General features: G+C 36.5%; 1 protein-coding gene across 5 annotated transcripts in view; it reads left to right on the top strand.

Moving 5' to 3' along the window:
• Positions 1–12,200, top strand: part of NDUFS4 (NADH:ubiquinone oxidoreductase subunit S4) — a 122,700-nt gene that overhangs the window by 56,157 nt on the left and 54,343 nt on the right. The gene's annotated exons all lie outside the window — the stretch shown is intronic.

A 12,200-nucleotide genomic window follows, 5' to 3' on the forward strand; every position in this document is an offset into this window, starting at 1 on the left:
AATTACTAAGCTATTATGGTTAAGGGCAACTTTAAAGAAGCTCAAAGGAAATGGTTAGTTTGCTGCCATTTTAATTTGAAGGAACCTAATTTTTGTCTTTGCATAGGTTTTATATACGATATAACAATTTGGTGATTTTTTTTCTATTAAAGAATCTTCTGAATTTGAAATTGCTTTTTGAGAAAGGCAGTATTGGGACCAGGAATAATAAACTCATCTCTCTAATTCTCCATAGCCCTTCTTTCTCTGCCCTGCCCCCTTCTCCACCAAGGGAAAACATGTTAAAGATTTGTCATAGTGGTAAAGGAAGATAAGAATAAATTGGCTGAGGTGCTGTCCACCAGTTTGGTGCTGATAGCTTCAAATATATTTGAGTTCTGCACCTTGCTTTTGCCAGTGGCATGGGTTGATGGTGATAGTTGTCTGTCTTCATCTTAACTTTGACTGCACTTCCTCTTGTTCTGCCTCTCCTTTCCCCCCTCTTACTCTCTGCTTCTTGAAATCTCTCTTCACAGTTTGTATGGCTTTTCCCCTCTGTCTTTTGACACTCTGTCTTTTGCTGACTATGTAGCTGTAGGTCATCTCTCTCTCCCTTTCTGGCTACATGTGTTTTCCTGATACCACCTTATTCCCTTCCATTTTTTTCATTTTTCCTGCCTTCCCTTCTGTCTCTCTCTAGTTTTGGCTTTCTGAGTCATTCTTTGGCCGTCATTTTTTCCCCCACTCCCCTGTCTCTTCTACCGCCCGTTTTCTTCTTCCTTCCATTCTTTTTATTCCGTACTTCTGTTCCTTTTATCTTTCTTCTTCTTTCTCTCACTTTCCCAAAATGACTAAGGAGCAACATCAAAACTAGTGGGAGAGACAAAAGGTGCCCCACCCTCTAAGCACTTTTTTAAAAATTGTCATATTTCCTCTTTTGTAAATATATAGGACTTTTAGAAACATTTAATAACTGAAAAATGGTTTATACATTATTACATTATTTGAAATGTTCACTCTAGTGAGATACATGGGATAATGGCAAGATCATGGACTAATTATAAATATAGCCTTAGATCTTTAGTCATCTCTTCTTTTAGCTGTATAACCTGAAGCAAGTTATTTAACCTCTGTGAGTGTCCTCATCTTATAAAATGAATATACCTTTTTATATTTGTTTTGAAAGTTAATTGAGAATACCAACACTAAACAAGAGGAGAGCCTGGATGCAGTGGCTCACAACTGTAACCCCAGCACTTTAGGAGGCCTAGTTGTGAGGATCACTTGAGCCTAGGAGTTTGAGACCAGCCCAGGCAAATGGGGAAACCTCGTCTCTTCCAAAAAAAAATTAGCCGAGGGTAGTGGCGCGTGCCTGTGGTCCTAGCTACCTGGGAGACTGAGGCAGGAGCTGAACTATTAATACTCAGGAGATTGAGGTTGCAGTGAGGCGTGATCATGCCACTGCACTCTAGCCTGGGTGACGGAGTGAGACCCTGTCTCCAAAATAAATAAATAAATAACGCATTATGTTCATTATTCACTAAAAAGTGTTTTTCTTCCTTTTTTTGCTACTTGGAGTTGTTAGCCTGGAGAGAGAAGCAAGCTGGAATTATAATTATTATTCTTAATCAGTTTTGAATTATTATGGAGCCCATTCTTGTGAATCAAATCTGCAGTGCAGGTACTAAGTTCTAGGGCACCCTGGAGCACAATATTGGCTTCACAGTGGTCCTGTGTTAGTCATGTGTGTATACGTATGTACATGTATAGTTGGTAATGATTTTTGTCATGTAACTTGCCTTTTCTAACAGCCTGTGGCACTAATATCATCTGTGATATTATCTCTCAATATACAGTTTCTGACAATCAACTATGTAATTCTTTAATTGGTAGATAGGTGTATTGCTATATAATTATCCTTCCAGTGAGAAATTTCTTTATTCTTTTTAATGGTGGAAATTTGTAACTGTATTACTTCAAGGAAGTTTCCAAAGTACTTATTCCTATTATTATATTTGGTCATTAAACCCTGTGTAATTAAAAAATTACTGGTTTTAGGCTGGGCACAGTGGCTCAAACCTGTAATCCTAGCACTTTGGGAGGCTGAGGTGGGTGGATTGCCTGAGCTCAGGAGTTCAAGACCAGCCTGGGCAACATGGTGAAACCCCGTCCCTACTAAAATACAAAACATTAGCTGGTCGTGGGGTCACGTGTCTGTAGTCACAGCTACTCAGGCGGCTGAGACATGAAAATTGCTTGAACCCGGGAGGCGGAGGTTGCAGTGAGCTAAGATCGCGCCACTCTACTCCAGCTTGGGCAACCGAGTGAGACTGTCTCCAAAATAATAATAATAATAATAATAATAATTACTGGTTTTAATAGTAAGGCATAGACATATCAAAAATCACATTAGAGGCCGGGCACGGTGGCTCACACCTGTAATCCCAGCACTTTGGGAGGCCGAGGCAGGTGGATCAGGAGTTCAAGACCAGCTTGGCCAACATAGTGAAACCCCTTTTCTGCTAAAAATTTAAAAAAAAAAAAAAAAAATTAGCCGGGTGTGGTGGCGGGTGCTTGTGGTGGCGGGTGCTTGTAGTCCCAGCTACTTGGGAGGCTGAGGCAGAATCGCTTGAACCCAGAAGGCGGAGGTTGCAGTGAGCCAAGATGGCGCCACTGCACTCCAGCCTGGGTGACACAGCAAGACTCTGTCTCAAAAAAAAAAAAAAAAAAAAAACACATTATACATCATAAATATATCAAATTTTACTACCAATAAAAAAGATACATATTTTTTAAAAACATAGTAATATGTACATGTTGTGGAAACATTAATTTGGAAATGAAGAAAGCATAATGAAGAAAATTAAAATCACCTTAATCTCAGTCTTGGTGAATTTACTTCTTTTTTATATGAATATTTAAACACACTAATATCTAATGTATTTATATGTAAGACAAATTGTTTTACAGTTTTTTATCCTGTTTTTCACTTTATTATAATGTGACTATATTTCTTTAAAATTATTCAAAAGCATAATTATAAACGAATGTATAATCTTTCATTGTATGGCTGTACCATAATACCTTAGCCATCATGCAGTTTTTGTACTGCAGGTTGTTTACAATTTTTTGCAACTATACGCAATGCTAGAATGAACATCTTTATACCTAAGTCTAATCTTTGATGACATCTTTATTTTAGTATCAATTCTTTGAAGTGGAATTACTAAATTGAAGGGTTTAGTATCAACATTTTAGGCCAGGCGCAGTGGCAAGGTGGGAGGATTGCCTGAGCCCAGGAGTTCAAGACCAGCCTGGGCAACATCGCAAGACCCCATCTCAAAAAATGTAAAAAAAAAAAAGTATCAACATTTTAAATATTTTTTGATACCTAGAGATAATTGATACAGAATGCTTTTAGAGAAGATTTTACCAATGTAACTTTAGAGATATGGCTTTATTTTTAATATACATGGCCTAGTTCTGTGGATACTTTTCAGACTCTGACACAGGGGGCATGTAGCAAATTCTACCTAATAGATAAATACCATATATCTAAGAATTAGAGTATAATAAAAATACTTAATACATTAATGATGCAACATTGATTTAGAAGTACTTCAAGGCTTAGTATATATATCCTAAGGATCAACTTACAAATTTATGTATCATTGTACTATAAATTGGTGGATATTGCTGGTTGATGAGATTTCTATCACAAATCTCTGTATACTAGGCCAATGCATAGCAGTTAGTGCTACAGAAGCATTAACTATTGCTGCTGCTGCTACATTAGTACCACTGTTACTATTATTTTATAAAGCATTATAACAGAGTTTGTGGCATAATGTATCTGAGGAAGTTATGAAACTTTCTACCTATTCTTACATTCAGTCTATGTTTTTGTTTTGTTATAAAGCCTTTCCAAAACAATGCAAGGTAAACATCATCCTCTGAAATATCTACAGTACTTCATCATTTATTTGGCGAACTACATTATTACTGATTTCAAATTTAATTCTGTAGTCAGCAACATACTCTATGATTTCAATTTTCAGATTTCTTGAGACTTTTTTATCGCCTAGTGTATGGTCTGTCTTGATTAATGTTTCATACACATTTTGAAAGAATATGCATTCTCCAGTTTTTGGGTTGGGTGTTCCAAAAATTTCAATTAAGTTTTAAGTTGACTAATAGTGTTACTCACATTTTGTATATCTTTACCAATATTTTTGTCCACATTTTCTGTTAGTTCTTGAGAGAGAAGAGTTAACGTCTCAAACTATAATTGGTATCTTTCCTGTGTGTGTTGGATCACATTTTTGCTTCACTTATTTTGAAACTACTGTTGGTTGGTGCATTAACATTGAAAATTGTTGTGTGTTCTTGATAAGTTGTTGCTTTATTCTTATGTGATGTCCCTCTTTATCCTGGTGCTGTTTCTTTTTCTGAAGTCGAATTTGATAATAATATATAACTGCCTCAGTTTTCTTATTCTTAGTTTTGTATGGTACATCTTATTCTCATTTGTGAGTTTATATTTAAAGTTTGACCTTTGCGATTATATGTGGGTCTTACTTTTTTATTTAGTTTGACAATTTCTGTCTTTTAATTTTGTGTTTAAAAAATTATGTGCAAAATATTTATTGATATAATTGGGTTTACATTTACCATCTTGCTGCTTGTTTTCTATTTGTCCTATCTGATTTCTTTTTTCTTTCTTTTTTGTTTTAACAGTTGCTTTAGGGATTACAATATGCATCCTTAACTTTTCATAGTCTGCCATGAACTAATAATGTATTACTTCATATGTAACATAAGAACCTTAAAACAGTACTTCCACTTGTCATTCCAGTCCTTTGTGTTAATGTTGACACACATTTTACTTCCATATTTGTTATAAACCTCATAGTAAATTTTTTTTTTTTTTTTTTTTTTTTTTTTTGAGACGGAGTTTCGCTCTGTCGCCCAGGCTGGAGTGCAGTGGCGCGATCTCAACTCACTGCAAGCTCCGCCTCCCGGGTTCACGCCATTCTCCTGCCTCAGCCTCCCGTGTAGCTGGGACTACAGGCGTGCGCCACCATGCCCGGCTAATTTTTGTATTTTTAGTAGAGACGGGGTTTCACCGTGTTAGCCAGGATGGTCTCGATCTCCTGACCTCATGATCTGCCCGTCTCGGCCTCCCAAAGTGCTGGGATTACAGGCGTGAGCCACCGCGCCCGGCCGTAAATTATTATTTTTGCATTAAACAGTTGTCTTTTAAATAAATTTAGAAGTGAGAAGAAAAATCTTTTGTACTTACTCACAAATTTATCATTTTTGTTGCTCTTAATTATTATACTTCATGTAGATAAAGTTTCCATCTGGTATCCTTTTCCTTTAGCCTAAAGAGCCTTATTTAACATGTCTTACAGTGCTGTTCTGTTGGGCAGAAATCTCTCAGCTTTTGTTTATCTAGAAATCCCTTTATTTTGACTCCACTTTTGACAGACCTTGTCTTAGCTCAGGGTGCCACAACAAAATACCATAGACTGGGTGGTTCAAACAACAGAAATTTAGTTTCTGACAGTTTTGAAGGCTAGAATTCCGAGGTTAAGGTACCAGCATGGTCGTTTCTGTTGAGGGCTGTCTTCCTAGCTTGTGGAAGGCCACCTCCTTGATGTGTCTACATGGCCACAGAGAGAGAGAAAAAGCAGGTGAGCTTTGTCATATCTCTTCTCATAAGGGCACTAATCCCATTATGAGGGCCTTACTCATGATCTCATCTAACCCTAATTACCTCCCAAAGGCCCCATTTCTAAATACCATCACATTTAGGATTAGGGACTCACTATACAAATTTTGGGAGAATACAAACATTCAGTTCATAACAGACCTTTTCATTGGATATAGAATTCTAGGTTGAAGATTGGAATGACTTAAAAATGTCATTCCAGTTTCCTTTTTTGAAAAATTATGTTAAAATATACATTGCACAAAGTTTACCATTTTTAAGAGCACAATTCAGTGGCATTAACCACATTCATAATGTTAAGTAATCATCACCACTATTTCCGGAGCTTTTTCATCATCCCGAATAGAAACTCTGTACCCATTAAATATTAACTGTCCTTTATGCTCTCCCCTGTTCCTCATAACCTCTATTATACTTTCTGTGTTATAGCATGTGTCAGAATTTCATTCCTTTTAAAGGCTCTACATAATAGTTCCATTTTATGTGTATATCACACTTTGTTTATCCATCCTTCTGTCGTCGAACATTTGGATTGTTTCTAGGGCTATTGTAAATAATGCTGCTATTAATATGGATGTCTAAATATTTGTTCAAATCTCTGCTTTCAAGTTTTTAGGAAGATGCCCCAAAGTAGAATTGTTGGATCATGTAGTTATTATACGTTGAGCATTTTGAGGAACTACATACTGTTTTCCATATTGGCTGCACCATTTTACATTCCCACAGCAATACACAAAGGTTCCAGTTTCTCTGCATCCTCACCAACATGTGTTATTTTCCATTTTCATTATAATAGCCATCCTAATGTGTGTGAAGTAGTATCTCAGTGTGGTTTTGATTTGCATGTTCTTAATAAATTAGTGATGTTGAGCATCTTTTTGTGTGTTTATTTGCCGTTTATGTATCTTTGGAGAAATGTCTATTCAAGTTCTTTGTTCATTTTGAATTAGGTGTTTGTTTTTTTGTTGAGTTTTCAGGGTTTTCTGTATATTCTGGATCTTAATCCTCTATCAGCTAGATGTCCTTTGATGCACAAAAATTTTAATTTTGATGACGTCTGATTTATCTGTATTTTTTTGTTGCATGTGCTTTTATTGTCATATCCAGTAATTCCTTGCCAAATTCACTGTCGAAGATTTCCTCCTATGTTTTCTTCTCAAAGTTTTACAGTTTTAGCTCTTCCATTGAGGTCTTTGATCTGTTTTTTTGTTTGCTTGTTTGTTTGTTTTGAGACGGAATCTCCTCTGTCACCCAGGCTAGAGTGCAGTGGCGCAATCTCGGCTCACTACAACCTCTGCCTCCCGGGATCAAGCGATTCTTCTGCCTCAGCCTCCTGAGTAGCTGGGACTACAGGCGTGCACCACCATGCCCTCCTAATTTTTGTATTCTTAGTAGAGATGGGGTTTCACCATATTGGCCAGGCTACTCTTGAATTCCTGACCTCATGATCTGCCTGCCTCAGCCTCCCAAAGTGCTGGGATTACAGGCATGAGCCACCACGCCCGGCCCTTTGATCCATTTTTAGTTAACTGTTGTATATGGTGTAAGACAAGGATTCATTTTCATTCTTTAGAATTGGATATCCAGTTTTCCCAGCACCATTTGTTGGTGCTTTCCACATCAAATGGTCTTGGCACTTCTTTAAAAAACCAATTGGCTATATATGCAAGGGTTTATTTCTAGGCTATTTTATTTCATTGGCCCATATATCTATTCTCTGTCATACCAAACTAATTATTGTAGCTTTGTAGTAAGTTTTAAAATCGGGATTTATGAGTCCTCCAGCTTTGTTCTTCATTTTCAAGATTGTTTTGAAACAAAGATTTCACGTGAATTTTAGGATGGATTTTTCTATTTCTACCCCCAAAATGTCACTTTTTATAGGGATTGCATTGAATCTGTAGATTGATTGCTTTGGGTAGTATTGTCATCTTAACAATACTGATGTTTCCAGTTGATGAACACAGGATGTCTTCCCACTTACTTATGTCTTTAATTTCTTTTAACAGTGTTTTGCGGTTTTCAGTGTACAAATCTTTCGTTTTCTAAGTTTGTTCCTAAGTATTACATTCTTTTCTATGCCATTGTAAATGGGATTGTTTTTGTAATTTACTTTTTAGATTGTTCATTGTGAGTGTATAGAACATAACTGATTTTTGTATATTGATTTTATATTTGCAACCTTGGTGAATTTGTTTATTATCTCTAACAGGTTTTTTTGGTGGAATCTTTAGGGATTTTCACATATGTCATCTGGGAACAGAGATAATTATACATCTTTACAAGTTTGGATGGCTTTTATTTCTTTTTCTTGTCCAATTGCTCTGGCTAGAACTTCCAGTACTACATTGAATAGAATTAGTAAAAGTGGGCATCATTGTCTTTTTCCTCATATTAGAGGAAAAGCTTTCAGTCTTTTCTGGGTTTGTGTTGTTGTTTGGTGTGTTTTGTTTGTTTGTTTGTTTTTGTTTTTTGAGATAGGGTCTCTGTGCAGTGGCATAATCTTGTCTCACTGCAGCCTTGAACTCCTGAGCTCAAGAGATCCTCCCACCTCATCTTCCTGAGTAGCTGGGAATATAGGCACACACCACTATACCCAGATAGTTTTGGCTTTATTTTTTGTAGAAATGGGGTTCGCCATGTTACCCAGGCTGGTTTTGAACTCCTGAGCTCATGCAATCTGCCTGCCTCAGTCTCCCAAAGTGCTGGGATTACAGTTTTCTGTTTTCTTTTATCATCATTACTGTGTAGGTAATGTGTCTTTCTTAAGACTACTTTTATGATAATTATCTTATCTTTAAACTTCAGAAATTTTGTTATACTGTGTTTTTGTGTGGTTTTCTTTACATGTATCTTGGTTAGGGTTCATTAAGATTCTTGGAATTTTTGATTAGTATTCTTAAAAATTGGAAAATTTGGAAATTTTTCTTCAAAAAACATTTCTGCTTCAATCTTTCATCTTCTGTAACTATAACACTTATATTGTACTGCTTAATATTTTCCAGCCAGTCACTGAGGCCCAGTTTGACTTCCAGTCTTTTTCCACTATGTAGTGCAATTTGGTTAGTTTCTATTGTCCTGTCTTCAAATTTACTGATCTTTTCTTCTGTTGGTGTCCAATTTTCTATTAATCCCTTACAGTATTTATCATTTTAGATACTATATTTTTCAGCTCTAGAATTTCTATTTAGTTCTTTAATATAGTTTCCATTATTCTGCAGAAATTTTTGAAATGTTCACTCATTTTGTCCATCTTTTTTCTTGAAATCTTTTAACATATTTATAGTCATTATTTATAAACCTACATCATTTCAGGGCCTATTTCTATTGATTATTTTGTTATTGTAGTTGTTGTTTCCCTTTTACATACACATTTAATGATTTTTTTAAAATTATACTTTAAGTTCTGGGGTACATGTGCACAACGTGCAGGTCTGTTACATAGGTATACATGTGCCATGCTGGTTTGCTGCACCTATCAACTCATCATTTACATTAGGTATTTCTCCTAATGCTATGCCTCCCCTAGCCCCCCACCCTCTGATGGGCCCTGGGTTGTGATGTTCCCCGCCCTGTGTCCAAGTGTTCTCATTGTTCAACTCCCACTTATGAGTGAGAACATGCGGTGTTAGGTTTTCTCTTCTTGTGTTACTTTGCTGATAATGATGGTTTCCAGTTTCATCCATGTCCCTGCAAAGGACATGAACTCATCCTTTTTTATGGCTGTATAGTATTCCATGGTGTATATGTGCCACATTTTCTTTATCCAGTCTATCATTGATGGGCATTTGGGTTGGTTCCAAGTCTTTGCTGTCGTGAACACTGCCGCAATAAACATGTGTGCCTGTGTCTTTATAGTAGAATGATTTATAATCCTTTGGGTACCCAGTAATGGGATTGCTGGGTCAAATGGTATTTCTAGTTCTAGATCCTTGAGGAGTCACCACACTGTTTTCCACAATGGTTGAACTACTTTACACTTCCACCAACAATGTAAAAGCGTTCATATTTCTCCACATCCTCTCCAGCATCTGTTGTTTCCTGACATTTTAATGATCGCCATTCTAACTGGCATGAGATGGTATCTCATTGTGGTTTTGATTTGCATTTCTCTAATGACCAGTGATGATGAGCATTTTTTCATAAGTTTGTTGGCTGCATAAATGTCTTCTTTTGAGAAGTGTCTGTTCATATCCTTCACCCACTTTTTGATGGGGCTGTTGGTTTTTTTTCTCATAAATTTGTTTAAGTTCTTTGCAGATTCTGGATATTAGTCCTTTGTCAGATTGATAGATTGCAAGCATTTTCTCCCATTCTGTAGGTTGCCTGTTCACTCTGATGATAGTTTCTTTTGCTGTGCAGTAGCTGTTTAGTTTAATTAGATCCCATATGTCTATTTTGACTTTTGTTACAATTGCTTTTGGTGTTTTAGTCATGAAGTCTTTGCCCATGCCTGCATCCTGAATGGTATTGCCTAGGTTTTCTTCTAGGGTTTTTATAGCTTTAGGTCTTACATTTAAGTCTTTAATTTATCTTGAGTTAACTTTTGTATAAGGTGTAAGGAAGGGATCCAGTTTCAGCTTTCTACATATGGCTAGCCAGTTCCCAGCACCATTTATTAAAAAGGGAATCCTTTCCCCATTGCGTGTTTTTGTCAGGTTTGTCAAAGATCAGATGGTTGTAGATATGTGGGGTTGTTTCTGAGGCCTCTGTTCTGTTCCATTGGTCTATATATCTGTTTTGGTACCAGTACCATGTTGTTTTGGTTACTGTACCCTTGTTGTATAGTTAAAAGTCAGGTAGCATGATACCTCTAGCTTTGTTCTTTTTGCTTAGGATTGTCTTGGCTATGTGGGCTCCTTTTTGGTTCCATATGAAATTTAAAGTAGTTTTTTCGAATTCTGTGAAGAAAGCCAGTGGTACCTTGATGGGTATAGCATTGAATCTGTAAATTACTTTGGGCAGTATGTTTATTTTCACGATATTGATTCTTCCTGTCCATGAGCATGGAATGTTCTTTCGTTTGTTCGTGTCCTCTTTTATTTCTTTTTGCAGTGGTTTGTAGTTCTCCTTGAAGAGGTCCTTCACATCCCTTGTAAGTTGGATTCCTAGGTATTTTATTCTCTTTGTAGTAATTGTGAATGGGAGTTCACTCAAGATTTGGCTCTCTGTTTGTCTGTTATTGGTGTATAAGAATGCTTGTGATTTTTGCATATTGATTTTGTATCCTGAGACTTTGCTGAAGTTGCTTATCAGCTTAAGGAGATTTTGGGCTGAGACCATGGTACTTTCATGATACACAATAATGTCATCTGCAAGCAGAGACAATTTGACTTCCTCTTTTCCTAATTGAATACCCTTTATTTCTTTCTCTTGCCCGATTGCCCTGACCAGAGCTTCCAGTACTATGTTGAATAGGAGTGGTGAGAGAGGGCATCCTTGTCTTGTGCCGGTTTTTAAAGGGAATGCTTCCAGTTTTTGCCCATTCAGTATGATATTGGCTGTAGGTTTGTCATAAATAGCTCTTATTATTTTGAGATACGTTCCATAATACCTAGTTTATTGAGAGTTTTTAGCATGAAGGGCTGTTGAATTTTGTCGAAGGCCTTTTCTGCATCTATTGAGATAATCATGTGGTTTTTGTCATTGGTTCTGTTTATGTGATGGATTACATTTATTGGTTTGCATATGTTGAACCAGCCTTGCATCCCAGGGATGAAGCCGACTTGATTGTGGTGGATAAGCTTTTTGATGTGCTGCTGGATTTGGTTTGCTAGCATTTTATTGAGGATTTTTGCATCGATGTTCATCATGGGTATTGGCATAACATTTTCTTTTTTTGTTGTGTCTCTGCCAGTTTTTGGTATCAGGATGATACTGGCCTCATAAAGTGAGTTAAGGAGGAGTCCCTCATTTTCTATTGATTGGAATAGTTTCAGAAGGAATGGTATGAGCTCCTCTTTGTACCTCTGGTAGAATTCGGCTATGAATCTGTCTGGTTCTGGACTTTTTTTGGTTGGTAGGCTATTATTGCCCCAATTTTAGAATCCGTTATTGGTCTATTCAGAGATTTGACTTCTTCCTGGTTTAGTTTTGGGAGGGTTTATGTGTTCAGGAATTTATTCATTTCTTCTAGATTTTCTAGTTTATTTGCATAGAGTTGTCTATAGTATTCTCTGATAGTAGTTTGTATTTCTGTTTGATCAGTGGTGATATCCACTTTATTGTTTTTTATTTAGTCTATTTGATTCTTCTCTCTTCTTTGTTAGTCTTGCTAGCAGTCTATCTATTTTGTTGATCTTTTTAAAAAACCAGCTTCTGGATTCATTGATTTATTTTTTTGAAGGGTTTTTTTGTGTCTCTGTTTCCTTCAATCCTGCTCTGATATTAGTCATTTCTTGCCTTCTGCTAGCCTTTGAATTTGTTTGCTTTTGCTTCTCTAGTTCTTTAAATTGTGATGTTAGGGTGTCAGTTTTAGCTCTTTCCT

The sequence above is a fragment of the Homo sapiens genome, chromosome 5 (genome assembly GCF_000001405.40).
Source record: "Homo sapiens chromosome 5, GRCh38.p14 Primary Assembly".
In the NCBI taxonomy this organism is placed as follows: Eukaryota; Metazoa; Chordata; class Mammalia; order Primates; family Hominidae; genus Homo; species Homo sapiens.